The sequence below is a fragment of the Homo sapiens genome, chromosome 5, assembly GCF_000001405.40.
Source record: "Homo sapiens chromosome 5, GRCh38.p14 Primary Assembly".
NCBI classification, from domain to species: domain Eukaryota; kingdom Metazoa; phylum Chordata; class Mammalia; order Primates; family Hominidae; genus Homo; species Homo sapiens.
The window spans coordinates 133226277-133249895 of NC_000005.10; the positions used below are offsets into that span (position 1 = coordinate 133226277).

Sequence of the window (23619 nt, forward strand, 5' to 3'; positions counted from 1 at the left end):
CATTCATTTTCCAGTGGGCCATTCTCATTTCTCCACTTCTCAACCCCTGGAACATGGGTGAAAGGCCAGGTGTGCCCTCCTCAGCTTGGAGTGACTCAGCCATGGGCCCTGGCAGTCAGGTTCAGGGTTGGGGGTGTGAGCCTGCCCACTCACCAGACGAGCATGGGTGGGCAAGGCTCCAGCACCCTCCACAGAGCTCTGGCCCTTCCTACCCAGCCTGGCTGTGGGGAGGGGCCTGGAAGAAGCAATGAGGGTCTGGAGGACCCTCCCTCTTACCCCTAGCTCTGGGTCCAGGAGATAAGTATCATTTTTAGTGGAATTGAGGGTTCTTCCTTATCTATAACTTTTACTTTACACACTTTCAAAAAAGATTTGTGAGATGTAAACATACCTGCATATTAAACTAAACTAAACACACTGTCCCTGGAGATGGGGGAGATGGATTCTTCTTGAAGTGGACAGCTACATTTTCCTAGAGTTATCTGGAACTCCCTGTTGTTCAGTTAAAGAAAGCATCCCAGTACTTTAGAATAGAGAAGATTTTTCTTGGAACCAGAGCATAGAACAAATTGGTACTTATGTACAAAAGGCAATGGTGTGGATCCCGGGACCTGAGTGGGGTAGAATTTTTGTGATGCATGTGGGGTGGGCAGAGGATAAAAGAAAAACTCCACGGCCTCCCTGTGAGAAATGAACTCTGTAGCTCCTGTCACAGCTCCTCAGGGGCTGCTCATAATTCCATCAACTCAGTCTGAATTTCAAATCTTTTCTTGATCTGTGGGACACAGTTGGAGGCAGAGGTGAAAGCTAAATGGACAACTGCCTAGGGAGACAATCCCATCCTCCAATGGTCCAGAGCTGTTTCAATAACATGAGCTCAGGGCACCCAATGCCAAACCACACAGAGACCCAAAACAATAAAGTCAGAGTCCTTGCCTCAGTTTTTCTTTGTTTGAAGCCCTGGGGGAGAATGCCAGGGAGTGGCAGAAAAGCCTGTCACAAGTCAGGCCACTAGGGGTGGAGGAGGTCCACGGAGCTCCAGCGGAGGCATGTCTGGAGGACTGCTTCCAACATAAATGTGTAGCTCTCTTCTCTGACCCGTTTGATCCAAAGAGGAAAGAAGGAAACTTCCCTGCTTGATTCAAAGAGGAAAGAAAGAAACTTCCCTATACCTTGCCTTGGGTAGAGGGAGGAGTGGGGTTCCCTTTGAATAGATAGAATTTTGGTCGGAATTCAGTAACGCAGAGAGAGAACCAGGAGTACTGGCCTTGGGGGTGGTTGGAGAAGGTGGTAGCATAGAGCCACCAGAGTTCTAGAATAGGAATGGCCAGGACCTGGGGTTAATAAGCTTGGGTTCTTACTAGATCACTGTCTATTTCTACAAGCCTGCCTGGCAACCACAGAATAAACTTAAAGAAAGAAGAAGAATCAATGGAGACAGAAGCATAAATGAATGAATCAACCAGAAAGCTGAAGAACAGAACTGGTAAAGAAATCTAAGAGCTGTTTGTAAAAACCAACAAAACAGCCAAATTCCTGGGATGTTTGATCAATAAAAAAATAGAAAAAGAACACAGAAGGGATTAAAAAATATGAGAATGCTGTATTCAATTATTGGTAATAAATGTGAAAGTCTCAGTGAAATGGATCATTTAAAAGGAAACTTTAGGCCAGGTGCGGTGGCTCATGCCTATTATCTCAGCACTTTGGGAGGCCGAGGTGGGCAGATCCCTTGAGCCCACATGTTCGAGACTAGCCTGGGCAACATGGCAAAACCCCACCTCTATCAAACATACAAACATTAGCCGGGTGTGGTGGCACACACCTCTGGTCCCAGCTACTCAGTAGGCTGAGGTGGGAGGATCCCTTGAGCCCGGAAGGTTGAGGCTGTAGTGAGCCATGATTGTGCCGCTGCACTCCAGCCTGGGTGACAGAGCAAGAACCTCTCTCAAATAATAATAATAAAAATAAAAAAAAGGAAACTTGGAAGTACCAGCATTGAGTTAAGGAGAGAATATTTAAAACAACTGTAAAGTACTACTAACTCAAAAGGCACTCTGACAAGTTTTATCAGACAATTCCTTCATTCATTTAAGGAATGAATAATCCCTAGAGCATGGAACAGGGAAGATGTTCCAAATTACATCATGAAGGTAGCATAACCTGGACACCAAAACCTGGCAGAGAATGCAAAAAAGACTACACACTGATCTCACTTAGGACGTGATACACCAAAATTCTAAGTAAAATATGGACAAGTCAAAACTAGCATGGTATTAAAAGAACATACTGTGGGCAAGGGTAATATGTTTCAATGGCTAACTATTAGGAAATCTACCATTAATCATTCCAAAGTCAAGGAGAAAAACCATTTGATTCTCTTGCTAGACACTAGAAGGGCCTTTGAAAAAAGTTCAAAATCAATTTCTTGGGGAAAATCCCTCAATAAAATAGGAACAGAATGATATTTTCTTCGTGCAATGCAGAATATCTCTATAAAAAGAAGAAACGACACCATTCTTTTTCAAATGGTGAAACATTAATTTGGGAAAAAAGAAAAAGGACAAAGGAAGAGAGGCAATACCAGACTCCCAATGTCACACTGGATGTTGTCAATGGAAGGCAAGAAATGAGAGGCACAAATAGTACAAAGATGGAGAAAAATCATATGTAGTTATATCCAGGTAATGCACCAATAAAGTTATAAGGATTAATTGGTACGTAACGAGGCCAGTACTAAAATATACAAAATTAACAGCTTGCTTATACACCAGCAATGGCCAGACAGAAAATATAATGGAACTCAATGAAGAAAACAATATAACCTCACTGATGACATTAAAAAAGGCTTGGATAATTGGAGAGAGATGCTCTTGGATAGAAAGACTTAATATCGTTAGGAAACAAATTCAAAATTAAGCCATATGTTTAATCTAACTCCAATTAAAAAATCAGTTGGTAGGTGCCAGGCACCGTGGCTCATGTCTGTAATCCCAGCACTTTGGGAGGCTGAGGTGGGCGGATCGCTCGAGTCCAGGAGTTTGAGACCAGCCTGGGCAACGTTGTGAAACCCTGATTCTACCAAAAATACAAAAAATTAGCCAGATATGGTGGCATGCGCCTGTAATCCCAGCTACTTGGGAGGCTGAGATGGGAGGATTGCTTGAGCCTGGAAAGTTGAGGCTGCAGTGAGCCTAGATCATGCTATTGCACTCCAACCTGGGCAACTGAGGGAGACCTTGTCTTAAAAAAAAAAAATCAGTTGGTCAGGGCTTGACAAAACAATTCTGAATTTAGAAGAAAAAATATCCAAGAACAGCTGAGGAAATTTTGAAAAAAGGGAGTGATTGTCATTTTGCTATATCAGATATTACAAAGTTAGATAATACCAAATGTTGCAAAGTGGGGTGCAGGGAGAGAGGACTGAGGAAGAGCTGAGGGCGTTCTGAGTGTGGCACCGCCTTAATGATCTTGATGCATTTTACAAAGCTGTCAATTCAATACTGTGCAGCCAAAGTTTACTAAATGCCAGCCAAGTGTCAGGCAATGTCACACATAGAAGTGGGGAGATAGCCTCAGGCCCTACCCTCATGGAGCTTTCTGTCTGGGGGAAGTGATTCAAGAATGAACCATGAGTGAGACAGTCACTTCCAGAGGGAGCTTTGGGAGCACAGGGACAGTGGTCCCAGAAAATTGTCAGAATAGGGAACAGACTCCACCCTCTCACTTCACCCAGGAAGTGCTTCCTGATGTCTATGGTGCCTGTCCTTTTACTGGCGGTGGGCTTGTCCAGTGAACTGGAAACTCAAGGAATGAGCTTGCCTCTGTATGGTGGGTGGTACACCGGCCCCTCAGTGAGGTGGCCAGCACCAGGGCTGGACACTGGCCTGTGCCTCAGCCCTGGCCTCTGATAGGAATCCTGCAGACCCACATGAATCGCATAGGGGCAGGTCGGGGGAGCCTGGTAAAGCACGATGCTGGGCTCACCCCCAGCGTCTGATTCCTAAGATCTGAGATGGGGCTGGAGGATGTGCATTTACCTAACAGGTTCCAAGGGAGACCCTGAGTCAGTGGTGACTTGGAAGCTCTCCCAGACCAATTCAGGGCTAATTTTGAACCGAAGTGCATGCCAGTGTTCTAGAACAAAATGAAACCTGCCTGCAAGTCAAGGGTGTGGAATGAATCATTCCCTTAAAAATACATGACTAAATGCAAGACACCTGGGTCTCCATTAGCAGGGGCAAAAAGATGGCTCACATGTGCTTAGAGTGAGATGCACCCTCTGCTGGTCTTGAGGTTTTTTTGAGCCAAAGCGGGTAAGATGACTCCTCACTGGCCTCCAGCCCTTCAGCAGGACTAAAGAGGGGGCCTCAGATCTGCCTGCTCCACCTCCGGTGCCCCTGCGTCTCCCCAGTTTTGCCCCAACTCTCTACTGGGGATCACTAGGCCTCTTCTCCTCCTGCGCCTTATCCCAGATCATGCCAATCTCCACTAGAAGCCTAGGCCTCTGGGGCATCCCTCCTCCCCAGAACCTTCTGTCGTGCCTTCTGGAACTCATGTTCTGTCATTAGCAACATCTCCCACATCCTCAGACTCTTCTATGAGCACTCCTTCACCTTCTTGCTCTAGTGGAAACCTGGCTTCCTCCTGAGGACGCAGCTTCTCCTGCAGTGGCTTCAGGGGCGGCCCCTTCTCTTGGTACCACTAGGGTGGGAGGTGGGGTAGGCGTCCTCCTGGGCCCACGTTGCCACTTCTAGATCATTCTCGTGTCACACCCACCTCCTACCTAGACACCACCCCAGCTCGGACATAGCTCCCACGCCTCTCACTCCTGCATCCTGGTCCCCTTTTCTACTGGATTTTTCCTGTTAGCCCACAGAATGCTTTTATTTCTCCTACCTTGGAAAAAAAAAAAAACCCTTCTCTTTATCCCAGTTTCTCTCTCAACTATGCCCCATTTTTCTCCTTGAAAACACCCTGAAGTGTTGTCCATACTCAAAGTTAGAGCCAGCTCTGGGCAGCTCCTACCCGTGCCAGAGCTCTGGATCCAGCCTCCCACCAGGAGGATGGAGCAGTGTGGACAGGGAGGGTCTACGTGGGTGTGTGAAGTTCCTGGGGCCCTGCCAGGAAAGGTGGAGACCAAGCTCTCTGCCAGCAATGTGGCAGAGACCCAACTCTTTCCTTTGGCCCTGATATCCTCTTTTGCTTTTGTGTTAATCCACACATTAAAAATAATGTGAAATTAATATATCCTAGGCACACACATTCATTTTCTTTTTTCTTTGAGATAGAGTCTCCCTCTGTCGCCCAGGTTGGAGTGCAGCAGTGCTATCTCAGCTCATTGCAAACTTCACCTCTCCGGTTCAAGCAATTCTCATGCCTCAGCCTCCCAAGTAGCTGGGATTACAGGCACGTGCCACCACACATGGCTAATTTTTGCATTTTTTGTAGAGACAGGGTTTCACCATGTTGGCCAGGCTGGGTTCGAACTCCTGGACTCAAGCGATCCAGCCTCAACCTCCCAAAGTGCTGTGATTATAGGCGTGAGCCAGCACACCGGCCTCATTTTCTCTTAAATTTGAAAATCTTCAAGTGAAAATATTTGCATCCATAACACAAAGGCCCGCTGTCTTTGGGAAACACCGACCATTCCCAATGTGAAAGGCAGCGTAAATAGATCCTTAAGAGGCACAGTCACGAAAGTAGCATGCGGGAGTAATAAACAGATTCAGGAGGTTATTATTGTGTTTTTGGGAATGAATCGCTACTTGTCTGAACTGTGGGGAGGTCAAGGGTGTTTTTAATTTAATGGATTAATCATTTATGTCTGATTTCTTTTTCCTTCCTATGAAAGCAATGCAAGAGGTTTACCCAAAGTTATAAATCACGTCAGTGCTCGGGCCGCATCTCTGGGAGGTCTGGGCTATGGGCAAGTTATACTAATAATTTGAGAGAGGAAGTAGTTGCTGGAATGGTTTCTTTAGTCAACCAAATCAGGGCAGAGTCATGGAAGGGGAAGTCCCAGAAGGTGGTGGCCCCGCCTGTGCATGGAATCTTGACCCCACTGCTGGCAGTGTGGCAGCTCCAGGGAGAAGCAGCCTATATTCTATTCTTGGCTTGAACGTTTTCTCTGGGTCTTGATTTTCCAAACTGTATAATGGGAAGGAGGCTCTCTGAGGGGCCACCAGCTCTGACCATCTGTGTCCACCAAATATAGCTAAATTTGGCTTGAGTTACACCAACAATCACCCCCGTATCTACCCTACCTTGGACTGTGAACTACATCCTCTGCCAGGCATTTCCCAAGCATTATATACATATTCTATTTCATCAGACGAGGTTGAGGCAGCCAGCAGTGTGACCTAGAGGTCAGAGTATGGGGTCTGGATCCAGAGCAACACCCAGCAGTTGTGTGACCCCAGGCAAGTGACCTTTTTTAGCAAATCATCCATGAACTGGATTAAGATACGTGGATGGGAAGGTCCATGTGAAGGGCTGAGTACAGGGACTGACCAAGGCAAGTGCTGGGAAAACCCTGGCTACTGTCATCAGGAGGCAGTGAATTCTTCAGTTTCTGGGACTCCTGGCAACACAGGGCCTGTGAGAATCAAGGAAAAGCTTCCAAGCCTCAGTTTCTGTCCTGGCTTGGCTAAGATGAGGCTCATTGGGCCTCCTGGGGAGGGAGACGGACACAAGCCCTTGTCGGAGGAAATAGAGCCTCCTAATTGAACAAGTGATATGGTTCCATACCACCTGGAAGGAGTGGTGGATTTCAGTTTCTGCTCGCACTAGACCCAGAGGCCACAGCGGCTCACCAGCACTGTGTTGCCTAAGGGGCATGCTCCATGCTCCACACTGTCTGTGGCAGCCCCAGCTGCTGAGCGTGACTGGCCTGAATGGCTCACGCCATGGCACTTGGATTTGTTTCACCTGTGGAGGCTTTGGGTGGAGCCAAATATGAAAATTGGTCAACAGACTTTGCCCTTTCCACACGGTTCCCCTTTACTTATAAGAGAGATGATATATTTTGGGGTTAGATATTTCTTTAAGAAGACAGAATACAGGAGGGGGCGAGGGTTGATCTGAGCAGCAGTTTGGGGAGGCTATGAGGGGACAACATGCATGGAGCCATTTACTAACCATTCACCTGCAGGACGTGGGTCTGGAACAGCTGCTCGTGGCCGGAAGCATGGCAGGTGTAATTGCCCATGTGGATGGTGGTCACCTTGGTGATGTACAGGGAATCATCCTCTCCAAAGTCCTGCACAGGGCAAAGATGACGATGAGACTGGCCTCTTTATTGAACGGGCTGGAAACCATAGCTGTCTCCTGGTTTTCCAGAAATCCTGCAGCTGGGAGAGAGTTCCTTTCTGCCTGGCCCTTGCTCAGCCAGAGCTGTCTGCAGGGGTGAGCCGTCCTGGGCAGCAGCAACCCCATCTTGCCTCCACATTGTGGGCCCAGACCTCTGCATCTGTTTAAGGCCTTGTGTACCTGGCCCCTCCTCCACGAGGCCCGGTTTGAACACATCCCCCAGCACACGCCCTCTCAATTTCAAGCAACTAGGCCCACGTGTCCCCCCATTTACCGGCTGCCTGCTTGATTCTCAGGGGTGTTGCTCACCTGATGAGCAGCTCTGTTTCCGGAGGCCAGGCCTTGTTTAGAGCGGGGGTTAGCTGACTTTCTTAAGGGGCTAGCGAGCAGATATTTTTGGCTTCATGGGTAGCACAGTTTCTGCCAAATACCCAACTCCGCCACTACAGCATGAAAATAGCCTTCAAGACACATAAATTAATGAACGTGGCTGTGTTCCACTGAAGTTTTATTTAAAGTTGGTGGCCTGGATTTGGCCCATGGGCTGCAGTTGGCCTGCCTATGGTTTAGATCCCACCTCAATCCCAGCATGATTTCAGGCTGCTTGCAGAGATCTTGGTAACCCAAGGGAAGGGAAATAGAACTAAAGGGAAAATGGGGCAAACAAAAAAACCAGGGCAGGAACATCAAAGAGCACTAGGAAGGGCGGATGCCCATGGGTTCCACAGGAAATGGCTCAATAAGCCTCAGCACTGTCATCTCTGCAGCCTCACACGATGGGGTCTTACTGGGCCAGTGCACAGAGGAGGGATGGGCAGGAGGGGCTTTTGGCTGCATCAGAGTCCCCTGATGAGCACTGGGCACCAAGCACTTGCCCAGTCAGCTGCATTCCCTTTTGCAGACCTGTGCCCAATGCTGGCCCTTCCAGGCACCAACTACAGACATGCCAGGAATTGGAATTACCCGTTTTCTACAGAGAGCCCTCATCAGGTTGGGCCTTGGCTACCAAACATTTCCCAGGATATGGTGCTCAGAGCTGATGGTACAGAGAAGGCCCAGGCTCACTAATGAGCAAGGGGGTTGTGCACTGTCATCTGTGGGGAGTGATGGGAACTCAGGACATCCAGGATTTAGCTTGAGCTCTGCCATTGACCAATGTACCCAGTCTCTCTGGGCACTGGCTTCTCCACCTGTAAATTGTGGACAATATATACGGCCTGCCTGCCTTATGTGGTGTTGGGAGATCCGGTGAGAAAATGCATGTGAGTGTATTTTTGAATGTGGGATGCATGATATACACAGGGGATGTTATTTTTCTTGTTATTATTAGCAGAAGATGCAAAACTCCTCTTGACCCCTGGAGAAAACACCAAATCATCCCTCCTGCCTTTCCCTGGCCCTTTCTGAGCTCCCTTTTCCCACAGAAGCATTCTGGTGGCAGGAGAGAAGGCCGTGGTGGCATGAGGGCTAAAAGCAGCTGAGGGCAGCTCCCTGGGTCCTCCGCTGATACTCATGTGAGCTCCTGTTCCTGAAATGCTGATGTTCTCTCTTGCTAACACTCCAGAGGGCCCGGCCACAATGGTCCCGAAACCCCTTAAAGACACTTTCTGAGCCGGGCATGGTAGCTCATGCCTGTAATCCCAACACTTTGGGAGGCCGAGGCAGGTGGATCACTTGAGGTCAGGAGTTTGAGACCAGCCTGGCCAACATGGTGAAACCCTGTCTCTACTAAAAATACAAAACAAACAAACAAACAAAAAAATTAGCTGGGCGTGGAGGCGGGCGCCTGTAGTCCCAGCTACTCAGGAGGCTGAGGTAGGAGAATTGCTTGAACCTGGGAGGCGGAGGTTGTAGTGAGCTGAGATTGTGCCACTGCACTCCAGCCTGGGTGACAGAGCGAGACCCCACCTCCAAAAAAAAAAAAAAAAAAAGACACTTTCTGGCTAATTAGCTGGATGAAGGGGTGCCGGCCCAGAGTGAAGCTTGGGGTAGGGCAAAGGCAGGAAGGTAGATGGTGAGCACATGCAGCCTGCTTGCAGGGAGGGTCAGGATAAAAACTCCTAGCAGTGCTCTCAAAGAAGTAAAATGTTGCAGAGGGCTGCGGAAACCCTGAGAGTTTGTTGTGAAACACTGCTCTGCTTCAAAGAGCCCTTTTCTACCATTCTGCGGAAGCCTCCATGATAAAATAAAACACCAGATAGCTGATTTGTCCTGTATCATAAGAGTCATAAAAGGTTCATATCTAAGTTGTTTATGAAAAGTTAATGACTAGTCAATTCTGGGACCGACATATTTCTAGTCTAAGCTGTTTCCTGTGTCAAAACTTAAGTCTGGAGGAAAATCTGTTTAGCTTGGAGTCTCAGTGGTGAGATGGCATCCTGAAATGGTACAGCCATTTCAAAGGGAAAAGGGTGGCAGGGCTTGGAAACTCCTCAGCGTCCCAGTTGGTGGGTCCCAGGGCAGACACCATCCGAGAGGGCAAAAACCAGAGCTGCTTGCAGGGAGCCTGGCGCTGTGGACCTGCTGGCATTTTCCCTCCAAACTGCCTTCCTGAGCCTTCACATCCACAGCCCCTTCTCATGATGGCCCTTGAAGCTGGCCTCAGGCTCTGGCAGGCCCTGCCCTCATCACCACCTGTGTGGTGGTGTTTAGTCATCAGCACCACCACATTCCTCAGGTTGAGATGGGCCCTGGGCTCTGAGGGCTGTCCCAAGGCCACTGTTCCCAGATATCAACCTCAGGTTGATACCCATTAATACCAACATACGGTCTTCAAGAGGTTACCGTGTGCCGGGAACTTACACGTCACCTTGTATGTATTTAATCCTCAGGAAAAAAAAAACCCTGAAAACCCCAATCCAGAAAACAAAACAAAAGCCCAGTTCCCCAGGGGCTGAGACACTAGGCTCTCCTTGCAGATTCATTCAGAGTGGGGTCTTCTCTCACCACCTCCATCGCTCCTGCTCTGGCCAGCTGCCACCTTCCTGGGTGATGCCAGGGACCCCGGCTTCCGGCCCACAGACTCTGCCCTGAGCCAGCCACATCACGCCCCTCATACTCAGAGCCTTGTTTGCTGGGGGCCAGCCCCTCTCAGACCCTACTGCCTCGCACACTCCCCTTGCTGTTGCTCTAGTGTGCCAGGCATGCTCCCCTCCTCCCAGGCTGTCTGTCTGTCTCCCTCTCCTGCAAGTCTGCTCCAACCTTGTCTGGCAGCCCCATTTCTGGAGCCTAACCTCTTCCCCACACCCTGCTTGGCGCCTCCTGTGGACGCACTGCTGTGCCGCCTGCTGCTTTCTGTACTTACCTTGTTTGCTGTCTGTCTTCCCCTGCAGAATGTGAGCTCTGCAGAGGAGGGCAGGGAGGCTTGTGCCCTGTGTGCCTGTCACAGTCCTGGTGCACAGTGGGCCCTCAAAAAATAGCTGTCGAGGGGACTGTACAGGGCACCGAGCTAGGCTTTCTGAGGGGATTCTTTCAGTTTGACAGCCGAGGTGCCCACCTGCCTTCCTGTCCACTCAAATATTACCCAGCCACACAGGCTCAAAATGAGGCAGCTGGCGGGAGGAGCAGAGCACTGGTCTCAAGTCTCGTCCCCACTTCCCCACTTGTCCCCTTCTCCGTCCTGCAGCCCTCGGGAGAACTCGAGGCTCTTTTGCACTCCTCAGGCTGGGGCACGCTGGAATTGACCAAAGCTCAGAGCAGCAGGAAGAGATGGAAAAGCCCATCGCGCATGGATTCCCACCCGCTACTGATGACTTGTGCTGTGCCTCCAACACAGTCATTTAACCTCACTGTCTGTTTCTTTCCTGCTTACCAAGTACACATCCCTGCTCCCCAGGAGCAGAGACTTAACTCTTGGGCAATCACTCAGGTGCTGAGGGGTGTGTGTGTCAGCCCTTGGAGGACTTGAGGGGCTCCTGGGTGTGTTATGGCTCTTCCGTGAGAACCTAAGCATTACCTGTCTGTGGCTTCAGCTCGGAGGAGAAGCTGACTCTGTAATAAGTAAAATAACGTCTCTGGGTGAAAATGATAGGCATCATATAATTACAGAACAAAGCGCATATTGTTTTCTGGATATGAATACTGGCTACAGAAATCAAATTTACCTCATTGGATGTGAGAAGAGAAAATTACTTTAACAATTGATTTATAAGAAGCTACATAAAACTAAGCCTGCAATCCTTCCTCTCCTGAATGTTCTTTGAGATGCATCTGAATACTGCTATCAACGCTTGATTGCATCTCTGTACTTGTCTCTTTATGGATGGCTTTTTTTTTTTTTTGCTCTGATGCATAGAACTGTATTAGCAAAATCAAGGTTCCTTACAGAAATAAACAGATGTCAGATTAGACCATTCTTTGTATTGATGCATATCTGTTTTCTGGGAAAGAGACAATTTTAAAGACATGGTTCTCACCTTTTAAAAAGCGATTTTCTAAGTATCTGCCCTTAATAAAGAACACAATTAAATGAGACTTAAGTATTAAACAATAGTTAAGCAGAGATGAGATGGGGGATGTTGTCATAGTGATCCATGGGAGTCAGGTATATATGGAAATGAGTCATCAATACTGAATATTTAGAGACTAAATGTTCAACGCAAGGACTCCAGAGTAATATTAGAGTTTAGGTTAATGATACTGTCAATGTTACAAGTTCAGACTCAGTTGAGAAACAATTATTCAGAGCTTTTCCGACATTGCCCTCCTCAGGAGCACCCCTGGTTCTCTTTGTGGGAGGAGGGAGCAAAGGGGGGGTCTCTCCCCCAACAATCCTTCAATTCTGGCCCCCAGAATGCCACTAACTGTAGCATCTCACCTGCACAGTCAAATGCAGCAAACTTAAACACAGAGTGACATGTGGTGCCTCGGTGATGGCCATTCCTCGAACACGTCTAGACTTCCCTGGCCCTTATCCAGACCAAGCCAGGACCACATGCACATGTGGGTGAGCACACACAGGCATCCACATGGACACATGCAGTACATGCGAGTGTGCACATGTGGGTGAGCACACACAGGCATCCACATGGACACATGCAGTACATGCGAGTGTGCACACATGGGGGAGGGAGCGCACCCAAACATCTACATGGACACGTGGTACACATGATGATGTACACGCATGAGTGCACACACGTACCAACATACTGGCTCCCTAGTGCTGACCTTCCCGACCAACACTGAGGTTACGGCGACATTCACTTCATTCTAGTCCCTCATAGTGAGAGATGACAGCATGCTGGCAGCCCTCGCAGCCCTTGCTCGCTCTCGGAGCCTCCTCGGCCTTGGTTCCCACTCTGGCCATGCTTGAGGAGCCCTTCAGCCTGCCGCTGCACTGTGGGAGCCCCTTTCTGGGCTGGCCAAGGCGGGAACTGGCTCCCTCAGCTTGCCGGGAGGTGTGGAGAGGCGCGGGCGGGAACCGGGGCTGTGCGAGGGGCTTGTGGGCCAGCGTGAGTTTCGGGTGGGCATGGGCTCGGCGGGCCCCGCACTCGGAGTGGCTGCCAGCCGGCAAGCCCCGGGCAGTGAGGGGCTTAGCACCTGGGCCAGCAGCTGCTGCGCTGGATTTCTTGCCGGGCCTTAGCTGCCTCCCTGCGGGGCAAGGCTCAGGATCTGCAGCCCGCCATGCCTGAGCCTCCCCCACCCCCACCCCCCTCCCTGCCAACGTGGGCTCCTGCGCAGCCTGAGCCTCCCAGAAGAGCACTGCTCCCTGCTCCAGGGCGCCCAGTCCCATCAACCACCCAAGGGCTGAGGAGTGCGGGCGCACGGCACGGGACTGGCAGGCAGCTCCACCTGCAGACCTGGTGCAGGATCCACTGGGTGAAGCCAGCTGGGCTCCTGAGTCTGGTGGGGACTTGGAGAACCTTTATGTCTAGCTAAGGGATTGTAAATACACCAATCAGCACTCTGTCTCTAGCTCAAGGTTTGTCAACACACGAATCAGCACCCTGTGTCTAGCTCATGGTTTGTGAATGCACCATTCGGCACTCTGTATCTAGTTATTCTGGTGGGGACTTGGAGAACCTTTATGTCTAGCTAAGGGATTGTAAATACACCAATCAGCACTCTGTATCTAGCTCAAGGTTTGTAAACCCACCAATCAGCACCCTGTGTCTAGCTCAGGGTTTGTGAATGCACCAATCGGCACTCTGTATCTAGATACTCTGGTGGGGACTTGGAGAAACTTTGTGTGGACACTCTGTATCTAGCTAATCTAGTGGGGACCGTGGAGAACTTTTGTGTCTAGCTCAGGGATTATAAACGCACCAATCAGCACCCTGTCAAAACGGACCAATCAGCTCTCTGTAAAACAGACCAATCGGCTCTCTGTAAAATGGACCAATCAGCAGGATGTGGGTGGGGCCAGATAAGAGAATAAAAGCAGACCTCCGGAGTCAGAAGTGGCAACACGCTGGGATTCCTTTCCACGCAGTGGAAGCTTTGTTCTTTTGCTCTTTGCAATAAATGCTGCTGCTCACTCTTTAGGTTTACACTGACTTTATCAGCTGCAACACTCACCCTGAAGGTCTGCAGCTGCACTTCTGAAGCCAGCGAGACCACGAACCCACCAGAAGGAAGAAACTCCAAACGCATCCGAGCATCAGAAGGAACAAACTCTGGACACGCTGCCTTTAAGAACTGTGACACTCACTGCGAGGGTCCGCGGCTTCATTCTTGAAGTCAGTGAGACCAAGAACCCACCAATTCCGGACATAATAGACGGACTTGCCATCCTGCAAAGACCTGAGGAACCATCCTTTTTCTCAGAGTCCTCTCAAGAAAAAGAAGTCTCTGCAACTTGGAGCAATCTCTAAGTAGCTGTCTGAGCCCCCTGGAAGAGGGCTGTTGTGGGCAGCTGCATTCAGTGTGAGCAACCTGGAGTGGGCCTGTCCTCCTGCTCGTTCCCAGGTTCAGGCCTGGAAGAGGGAGTTGGAGGCATGAGAGAAGCCACTGTGGGGAGAGCACCTGGTTCTTCCAAGGCTCGGGGCATGTGTGGTCCCTGGCTGACTTGGGTGTCCTCTGGTGTGTGCGGTCAGTCTTCTTCTGACTGTGGATGCCAAAGGGGAGGCCCTTATCTCTTAGCGCATGACTCATCTCTTCGCGCATGACTCATCTCTTTGTGCATGACTGTATTATTCTCAGCGTGTCATGTGGTTCCTGTGCATAACTGAGCTCAATGAATATTTGCTGATTTCAGGGAGTGTGTTAGCCTAGGATGCTACCTCCTGGGAAGCCCTGAGAGGAAGGATAGTTAAGAATTCATATTACCCAGGGAGGTCTGGCCTTGCCCTCTTTGGCTACAGGGAGGCAATCTCTAGGCTCTGGAATGTCATGCCTCATAGGGGTCTCTTTATTTGCCTGGGGTCTTTGGGCCAGGTGGTACCAGTTCTGTCTCTAGAGGGGCTGGGGACGAGAGGGCAGCCATGTGGGCAGTATTTGAATGAGCTCCAGCAAAAGCTTTGGACACCGAGGCCTGGGTGAGCTTCTCTGGGAAATTGACACTGTGACAGTGACATGTCTGTGACTCCACTGGGAGAGGAGAACAGAGATTCCACGTTTAGAGCCCTCCTGGGCTCTGCCCTTTGGGCTTCATCACTTGGCTGACTTTAATCTGTACTCTTTTTGCTGTATTAAACTTTAACTGTGAGTATAACACTTACAATGAGTTCTGTTTTTCCAGCAAATTGTTGAACCTGAGGGTGGTTTTGGGAACCACCTGACTTCCAGTTTATGTCAGAAGTGAGGGTGTCTTCTGTCGAAGAGCCAACTTCAGTTGGCTCAAAAACTCAAATAGGGAAGTTCTGACCTAGTGGTATGCGTGTTGAAATTGCGTATAGGGACAAACCTGATTATCTGGGTATACACAGAGGCCCAGGCACCTGCAACAGAAGGCTCATGCCAGAGACATTGCTCTGAGCCCTCCACTTGTCCACCCTTAGAGGCCAGCAGGCAAATACCTCTTGACATGCCAGGACTCCAGAGTGTTATGTAGTAGGGGTGGCAGCTAATGGGGCCCTCTGGTGAGGTGCAGGCCTGAGCCCTTGAATGGGGCTTTGGCTCCTTGGCTAATTAGCTTGGCATCCCCAGCTGGGGCGGGAAGGGACTCAGGTTCTAGACTGCACTGTAGCAGTCATCTGAAGTTCCAGACCACCTCACACCTGCTGCTTTCCTTTGGGAAACCTGCAACCCTCTTCCTGGGGATCCTTGGATCCTGAATCCCCAGGCTGAGAAGGCCTTACCAAGGGTTTCAGCTCCTGACTCTAACTTGGACCACACTCACAGCCATGACAGCTGATTCCTGTCGTTGAGACACTCCAGAGAGGATTTAAATAAATTTCCTTCTATGGCTCATTTCAGGGACCAAGACGACTTTCAGTTAGGAATTTCCTCCTGACACTGTGTTCAAAACTCTTACACATTGTTGGAGAGGGCGTAGACTGGTGCAGCCATTTTGGAGAGAGATTTGGCAAAACCCATCAAAACTGAAAATGCATCACTTCCGAGAACTTATCTTACACGTCAACTTACACACATGTGCAAAGAGGTGGGTATAAGGATGTTTACTGCAGTCTTGTTTGCTGTAGACAAAACCTGAAACAGCTGCATGGGGCTGGGGAGGGGGAGTCCAGGAAGAGCAGTGCTTGGGCATGGCTCATGGGCTGCAGGACCTCCTGGTGACTCCCTTGTCCTTGCTTAGTGCAGAGAGTGCCTTGGAGGGGTAGGCTCCAATCTGTAGTGGCCAAGAGAGGCACCAATCGGCCTCCTTCATTGACTGGGCCTCTGTAGGGAGGCAGTGAGGCTCAGGGAGGAAGAGACTCTGTGGGGAGTTCCTGGGTTCTGCAATCAGGGTATAGAAGCTGAATCAGAACCTTCCTGTGGGACCCTGTACCTTGGAGATGGGGCCGGAAGTGGTCACTGAGTACAAGTCAAGCCCTGAGGCCAGGGCTTCCCCTAAGGCTTTCCCCTAAGAGGGGAAAGAGGACCTCGAAAGAGGCACTGAGAAAGCAAAGGCCAGAGGAGACACTTGGCAGGGCAGAGTCACCCCACAGGTTCCACAGGCTGGAGTACCATAGGCCCCGGCCCCCATATCTTGGAGATCTCTGGACACTACTCCCAATGGTTTGAGCACATTCAAAACTCTAAAGAACTGGATGTTCAGATGTTTTTGACACAAGCTACAGAGAATTGGCCAAAGCCTTTAAGTGCTTCAAATGTAGTGTTTTCTAAGATTTTAAAACAAAATGTACCCAAGCATTTAATGAGATTATTTTAATGCAGAGCCTACAACCACTGTCTATCGTGGTGCAAACAGCTCTCCATGCTAATCAAACGCCTCTCATCTTTTTACAATGAATTCATGACTGGTTCATATAAAGACAATAAAAATTAAATGAGTCATGAGCTCCTAAATCATTTTCTTTTGGTCTTTTTAATAACTCCCTTCCAAAGAAGAGCTAGCTGAGAGCATACGCTTCATTAGAATTATTTGTTCCTGGTTTTATACCATTTAGGTATGGGGAGAAAAGTGAACATTTTAACACATCCTTCAAACACTGCCACAAATACTTTCTTCTAATGGGTTTTGTTTTTTGCTTTTATCACCGTACTCTGCCTGCCGACATTAGAAAGCCCCAAATAGCGAGATTCAGTGAAAAAAAAACCCAAAACAAAAAAGAGTGGCTCTTTCAAGTCATTTGAAATATACTGAGTTTGTTGTAGGCCTTTTTGTTTTTTCTGTTTTTTTAAAAAAGAATACAATAGAAAAATGTTTTCTCTCCCTGAGAATATCCTGGCTAAACAATTCCACGTGCTGGTCTCAGAGCATGTTGCTTCCTTCCTTGCTGGGGCCAGAGGCCAGCAGCCAGTAAGAATAGGAGCTCCACACACAGGGACCCATATCCAATTTGATACATTCCACTGGGGCCTGGGAACTACAGACAGCCCCACAGCAAAGATTTGGAATTGCTGGGGGCTAGATATTATGTCCCACAAGCAAGAAACCCAGAGAGCTCTGGGCCAGGGCATGTAGGTGGCTGTAGGCCCATGGGCAAGTTCTCCACTCATCTGAATGAGTTAACCCCACGTGCCTCATGGGGCAGGGGTATGGGATGAGCTGATGCTTATGACCTCACAACCGGCACGGAGCCTGCACCGTGTATGAATGGTAACAACACTGGCAACAACACTTGTGATGGTTCAACCCAACAGCCATTACCTGTGACTTTTGAGATGCCCTGTCCCTGTTTCTGCCCGTTCCTGTCTCCTGGCCCTCAGGATCATAAAGGACAGTGAGGAAGACAGTTATGAGATGAAGGGTGGGTGACATTGTTGAGGCAGGATGTGCCGACTAGGTTTGGGGACAGTCACTTCACCCTCCGAGTGGCCGCTGTGCAGGCTGGGTGGTCAGAGAAGCAGAGGGCTGAGGCCCAGAATGGGTTTGCATGTTCTGTTTCTGCAGAAAGTGAGGCAGCACCCCATCCTTCCCAACCCCAATACCTAGAATGGGGGCCAGAGTAGGGAGGGAATGTGTGGATCTGCTTCTGAGATGGGTCTCACCCCAGCCCCCAAAGCCTGGACCTGAGTCCCCAGGAGACAGGGGCTACAGGGGAATCTCACCAGGGAATGGCCCCTTGTGGGGGCCCCACAGCAGGGGCTGGGGGCAAAGTCTCCCCTTCTACCAGACACAAGCACAGGCACACTCCTGGGGGCCGCCTGGCCCAGGCCCAGGTCATGCCGAGCACAGGGTGCTGCTGGTGGCCACGCCTCTGCTTAGCTTCTGAGGTGGGGGCAGTGGGCTGTGCCTCCTCAAGGACTGAGGTGAGTGGGGACACAGGGCCAGGTCAGAAGCACATCCAGACACACAGCTGCTTCAGTAACGAAACCCACAGTCAGCCAGGAAGTAAACAAATTACAGGCTGCACTTTGTTAGCTCTGGGGAACATGAACGTGAGCAGACACTACTGATTTCTCATCAAACAAACAGAAGGCGGCGTCATAATCCAGAGACCCACTGCCAGGAGGGGCTGCAGCATGTGCCCTGGGCTGCTGATCTGCTGGGGTGCACCTGTCTTTGGGGGCCTTACACCATTCGTCCATAATTCTAGCCTCTGCTCAGTGGTGGATTTGTTTTCCCTCTTACAAGCTGGGCTGGGTAAGGCTAAAGCCTCCTGCAAGGCAGTGGCTCAGGTGTCCTTAGGAGACATACCAGGTCCAGGCCCAGGCTGAACTTCCTGACAACCTTAAGAAGGCAAAGGCCAGGTACGGTGGCTCACACCTGTAGTCCCAGCACTTTGGGAGGTCGAGGCAGGAGGATCACTTGAGCTCAGGAGTTTGAGGCCAGCCTGGGCAACATAGCAACACCCCTCTCTACAAAAAAATAAAAAAATTAGCCAGGCATGGTGGTGCATGCCTGTGGTCCCAGCTACTCTGGAGGCTGTGATGGGAGGATCGCTTGAGCTCTGGAGGTCGAGGCTGCAGTGAGCCAAGATCATGCCACTGTGCTCCAGTCTGGGTGACAGAGAGAGACCCTACTGCCTAAAAAAAAAAAAAAAAAAAAGGCAAAGTGAAGACATCATGAACTGAACCACTGCCCCATCAGGGGAGCCTTGGGTGGAAGCCAGGGAGACCCTGGGGCACTGCTGCACTCCAGATGTGCCATTGGGGAAGTTAGAGAGGAGGAAGACTCAGAAAACATCAACAAGGCTCCCCTCACTTCTGGACCCTCTGTTATGTGAACTCCCTCTTGGATGCATGTTTAATCTTAGGCTGGAAAAGGCGCTCCAGACTCTTGCAGCACACACATCTGACCCTGTCACTCCCCCATCAAACATCTGCGCTTCCCCACTGCCCACAGGGCAATTGCTAAGACTCTTAATGTTAATATTCAAGGACCTTTATGTTCTAGCCCCAGTCTGTCCCTATACACTTCTTTCTCACTCGCTTATTCCTGTCTCCTGAAGCCCCAGTCAGAAGGGCTCCTTTCTCTTGCCCCCAGAACAGTTGTTAGTGGTTACTTCGCCTCCCTGGAGGCTGCGGACAGTGTCTTTGTTCTCTACTCTGGTACGGAGCTTGTGACTCTCAGGCACTTAGCAAGTGAGTCAACCCAAATGATGACTCCCCATGTACGCCACCTGGATGGGCCACACACGATTGGGTGACTCATAAGTGCTTCTGAGAGCAACATTACTCGCTGCAAAATCTGACTGGCTCCTTCTTACTTGGCTCCAGGCGAGAGGGGTACATTTACTTTCTGATCAAATATTATTCTGATGCTCAGGGCATGCTTGATGTTTGCAAGTCAGAAAAGTTTAATTACATGTGTCATTAGAATGGCATTCTGTAATAGCTCTGTGACTGAATTCATTAATAGAATTCTTAACAGATAAGACAAATTAATATTTTGTTGCTCACGAAAGCTTCTCATTAAGAGAGTAGTGAAAAAGTGGTTAATATTTTGTTGCCAATCAAGATGTCTCATACAAACGACAAAGAAAGGAGGCCCACGCTCCTTCGTGCTCTGTGATCTCCCCGCCTTGGGTTTTGAAGGCCGATCAGCTTGCCCCCGTGCAGCCGTGTTTGGGAGTCACCACTGATTACAATGCCGGTGATCGTATTTCATCTCCCACTGCCGTGGGGTGAACGTGGCCACTGAGACACCTCAGGCTGAGGGACTCTGGGAGCCTCATCAACCCCAGAATCTTTGCTGCATCAGTGTTGCACTCCTGGGCTGTTCTCCCCTAATTCTTGCTTCAAAAATGCAAGTGAATCCCGATGACCTGGCTTTAGCCCCCTTCAGCCTGATTTCTTCTAAGGTTTGCTTTCCACACCGTCCCAAGTGGGCCTACTGCTTATGAGCACCTCTTGTGTGCCAGGCACTGAGCTGGGTCCTTGGTACACTTCAGCCTGAAAATGCCCATGTAAGGAGCACATCATGCTTTTTCTCCACAGGCTCAGAGAAGTCCAACAGCTCACCCGAAGCTGCTCTGGATTTGCTGGAGGCAGAGAAGCAGTGCCTCCCTCCCTGCGTGAGTCAAGGCTGACGTGGACAGTGAGACCTCCGTCCCCACTGCGAGCAGCGGGGGGCATGCCAAGGTCCTATCTGCCTGACTAGGGAGCCTCACCCAGCTGTTGCTGGCTGCTTGGTGGGGACTCAGGCTGCAAGCTGCTGAGAATATTATTTAGCAGCAGCAGGAATAATAATACAATAATAATATTAATGATAGTAACAATAGTAATGATGACAGTGATAATAGCATTTATAGAACACCATACGTGAAGAGCCTTACATGCATATTGTCATTTAGTCCTTACTGGAACCCTATGAGGCTGGTACCATTATTTATCCCCATTTCACAGAAGGGAAAACTGGAGCTTAGAGCAGTCAAGGTTACTAGACTAGTAACTTTCCAAGGTTCTAGTTAGTAAGTGGCAGACCCCAGGCTCATGCCCTTCCCTAGGAAGCTGTGCCGCCTCCTTCCCTCAGGTAGGGGAGGTGTGCGTGTGTTTTGTGTGTTTGTACACATCGGGCTTGGACCCCTGCGGGGCTGGTGCTGCCCTGCTCCCTCGTGTAGGGGGTTCTGAGAAGCACTGGGCCCTGCCTATTTGCGGGCTACTGACTCAACCACGAGCAGCAAGTGTTTCCTGGGAGATAATGAGGGGCCATTCATCTCTGGTTGCACCCACAATTACCCAAATTGCTAACCTTATTGTGAAAAGTAGAAATGCAATTGAGTTGGTGCTGGAGGCATGTTTGAGGGAGAGGAAGACCACTCAAAGTAATTTAATTAACTGATGGCAAGTACATTAAGTGGAGTTTTGCCTCTGCTTTTATTTCTGATGTCTTTCAGTGGAGCGCCAAGTAATGCACATGAAATGCTCCCACAGACACAGGTGGAGCTGTCCCAGTACTGATCAATCTTTCCTGGCCAAACATGTTTAAAAGCTGGCACTGCACCTTGTGAGCAGGTACAGTAGAGGACATCACACTCACAAACATGCACCCCAACACAGTCCAGTCTTTACAGATAGGACACTGCTCTTTCTTGCTAAGTTCTCAGACAAGCCCTGGCCATCGCAGGCCCAGAAAATGAAGGGTTCTGCCCATCCAGCATCTGTCCAGCAAGCACCCACCAGGATTGTGCTGCATTGACATTCAAAATTGTATAGGATACTGGCTATGTTCACCATGGTGGGAAATCACAAGAAAACAATCCTGTCCAGTGTGACAAGGCTAGGGGAAGGGCACTCCTTGGCAGCTCTGCCCAGGGTAGAACCTCCAGAGTGGCCCCCTCTTTCCATCTGCTTCCCCCATGACCCCCAGGGTGTAGCTGAAGGGGCCTAGAGAGTAGGAGAGGACTAACTTTGGTGGTTCCTGCAGCATTTCATGCTGGGTCTCTCTCCCCACAAGTCTCAGAGTTGGAAGGGACCTCCAAGGTCACTGGGTTTAGCTGCCCTCTTGTGGCTAGCAGCATTGCTGACCACAGTCCCTGCCTGAGCTTGCATATGCCCCTTGGGATAAGGAGCTCAGCGCCTCCTGTGGCGGCTCTGTCTCCATGGTGGGGCAGGTTTGATGGCTGGAATGGGGTTCCATCTAAGGAGCCCAAATTGATCTCCTTTTGAGGTGCACCTTGTGCTAGTCCAACTCAGGGGGTCACACAGCCCAGGTCAGCTCCCTTTGCCCCAGCCCCTACCCCACCACCTTCGAGATGTTAGCAGGAACTGACCATTCATCCCATGGGTCTTTCTTTTCTGGGCAAGCATCCCACTGTGGACCAGCTGTCCTGTCCTGAGCCAACAAGGCTAAGGCTGCCCTCTCTTCTGCATGAAAATTATATTCCAGTTACTGTAACCTAAGACCCGTCAGCTGTCCTGGCAGCTCACTACATGGGTGACATCACTCTGTCTTCTCACATGAACTTCTGGGAAGCCACATCACCTCTTGTGCCAAACCTGGACCAATAAATATCCTTGAATTATGCCACTTCTTTAAGTCTAATAGAAGGGAAGTATTGCTAACGTTTTTCTTATAGATTAATTCATTGAGGATCGGCAGGTTAAGAAATTACTCAAAGTCACAAAGCTGACGTGGGTGATGCTGGGACCCCAACGGAGGCTGCCTGGTTCCTCAGGGCACAGACGTACCCCCTGATGGCCACACTAGGCTGCATGAGCTCAGTTGCTTTCTTCTTCCACACAGCACCACTTAACTCATCACACCCTCATTCCCTTACCCAGCAATGAACGTCCCCAAGGTGGGTCCCCTCTGGCCTGACCTGGTTTCCCTCTACCTTCTCATCTGGCACCTGGCATTTGTCTTCCAGCCAACCCAGCCCAGTGGCTCACCTCTGCCCTCCACAGGGACCACCCCTTCCCTGCACACAGCTGTCTACAGCCTACCCAGCACTAGGGCCCAGAACCTCCTCCTAAGGTCCCCCAGCCCACTGTTCTCTCAGCTGTGGAGCCTGCTGCTCTCTCTGCTGGCCTGTGGTCCATCTCTCTGAGCCCTGTGAGCAGGCCCACACAGTCTGTTCTCAGGGTCACCTCCAGGCCTTTGCTAATGCAGCCCCGTTCAGAGGCCTCCTGTCCCACCCATCGCATCTCTCTTCTCTTCCTTAGCCGGACATAGCATGGCCACCATTCATCTATTTTCTGCTGTGGTGGGACTTGGATTTTCTGATACTGCCAAGCTGACAACAGGCTAGAAAAGCACCAAACACAGGATGTTAAACTAAAACTCTCCCGTCCTGCCACTGTCTGTGGCATCTTACCCAGTGTACTCTCCCAGGGAGGTGCGCTTGAGCTCAGAGTGAATTCCAGGTGACTTACATTGATGTCTTCCAAGTCCAGGAAGTTCAGGGTGAGCCCGTTGCGCTTCCAGATGATTGGTGGCCTCAGGTCTCCATGGACGGCGCAGGTCAGCACTGTGCTCAGCCCCACGGTCACTGTGGTCACACTGACCCTGTCCTCGGGGGCGAGGCTGAGCTGAACCACTTCTGCAGAGGGAAAGGAGGAGGCACGGTCAGGTGCAGGCCCAGGGATTGGAGTCTCAACTCAAGGTGAATAGCCATGAATTTCCTGGGTGGAAGAGGCCCAGAAGGGCTTCACGACTCCCTGAAAATTGTTTACAATGTGCTGACTAAATGTAGAGATAGACACTTTTGCTGGGCGAGGAGCCAAGACTTAGGTCAAATGCCCAAAAGGCTATGTGAGTCCAAACAGGTCAAAAACCATAAGTAATGTGCTGAGGACAATCTGGGCCATAGATTTGTGTCAAGCCAAGAATGTGGGCTGCGAAGGCCAGGGGGCCCACCA

The 23619-nt window shown here is 50.0% G+C and overlaps 1 protein-coding gene across 5 annotated transcripts in view, besides 7 other annotated features; it reads right to left on the reverse strand.

The window, feature by feature from the left end:
• FSTL4 (follistatin like 4) overlaps positions 1-23619 on the reverse strand; it is a 645613-nt gene that overhangs the window by 29822 nt on the left and 592172 nt on the right. For all 5 annotated transcript variants that reach the window (XM_011543283.2, XM_011543284.3, NM_015082.2 and 2 more), the window contains 2 exons: positions 23134-23300; positions 7141-7261 (listed from right to left, as the gene is read on the reverse strand). In XM_011543283.2, the coding sequence (XP_011541585.1) occupies positions 7141-7261; positions 23134-23300 (288 nt within the window). The remainder of the gene's footprint in view (positions 1-7140; positions 7262-23133; positions 23301-23619) is intronic.
• Positions 9344-10208: an enhancer, noted in NCBI's record as "H3K4me1 hESC enhancer chr5:132571312-132572176 (GRCh37/hg19 assembly coordinates)". NCBI's record gives its function as "activates a minimal SCP1, AML or CMV promoter by ChIP-STARR-seq in naive H9 embryonic stem cells {active_cell/tissue: H9 hESC(naive)}" and the evidence as "EXISTENCE:reporter gene assay evidence [ECO:0000049][PMID:30033119]".
• Positions 13808-14308: an enhancer, noted in NCBI's record as "H3K27ac hESC enhancer chr5:132575776-132576276 (GRCh37/hg19 assembly coordinates)". NCBI's record gives its function as "activates a minimal SCP1, AML or CMV promoter by ChIP-STARR-seq in naive H9 embryonic stem cells {active_cell/tissue: H9 hESC(naive)}" and the evidence as "EXISTENCE:reporter gene assay evidence [ECO:0000049][PMID:30033119]".
• Positions 14239-14518: an enhancer, noted in NCBI's record as "active region_23102". NCBI's record gives its function as "activates an Ori minimal core promoter by ATAC-STARR-seq in GM12878 lymphoblastoid cells {active_cell/tissue: GM12878}" and the evidence as "EXISTENCE:reporter gene assay evidence [ECO:0000049][PMID:35858748]".
• Positions 14239-14809: a biological region, named in NCBI's record as "H3K27ac hESC enhancer GRCh37_chr5:132576277-132576777".
• Positions 14309-14809: an enhancer, noted in NCBI's record as "H3K27ac hESC enhancer chr5:132576277-132576777 (GRCh37/hg19 assembly coordinates)". NCBI's record gives its function as "activates a minimal SCP1, AML or CMV promoter by ChIP-STARR-seq in naive H9 embryonic stem cells {active_cell/tissue: H9 hESC(naive)}" and the evidence as "EXISTENCE:reporter gene assay evidence [ECO:0000049][PMID:30033119]".
• Positions 17531-18052: an enhancer, noted in NCBI's record as "H3K27ac-H3K4me1 hESC enhancer chr5:132579499-132580020 (GRCh37/hg19 assembly coordinates)". NCBI's record gives its function as "activates a minimal SCP1, AML or CMV promoter by ChIP-STARR-seq in primed H9 embryonic stem cells {active_cell/tissue: H9 hESC(primed)}" and the evidence as "EXISTENCE:reporter gene assay evidence [ECO:0000049][PMID:30033119]".
• Positions 19213-20412: an enhancer, noted in NCBI's record as "P300/CBP strongly-dependent group 1 enhancer chr5:132581181-132582380 (GRCh37/hg19 assembly coordinates)". NCBI's record gives its function as "activates an origin of replication core promoter dependent on BRD2, BRD4, P300/CBP, MED14 and CDK7 cofactors, with strong dependence on P300/CBP, by STARR-seq in HCT116 cells {active_cell/tissue: HCT116}" and the evidence as "EXISTENCE:reporter gene assay evidence [ECO:0000049][PMID:35650434]".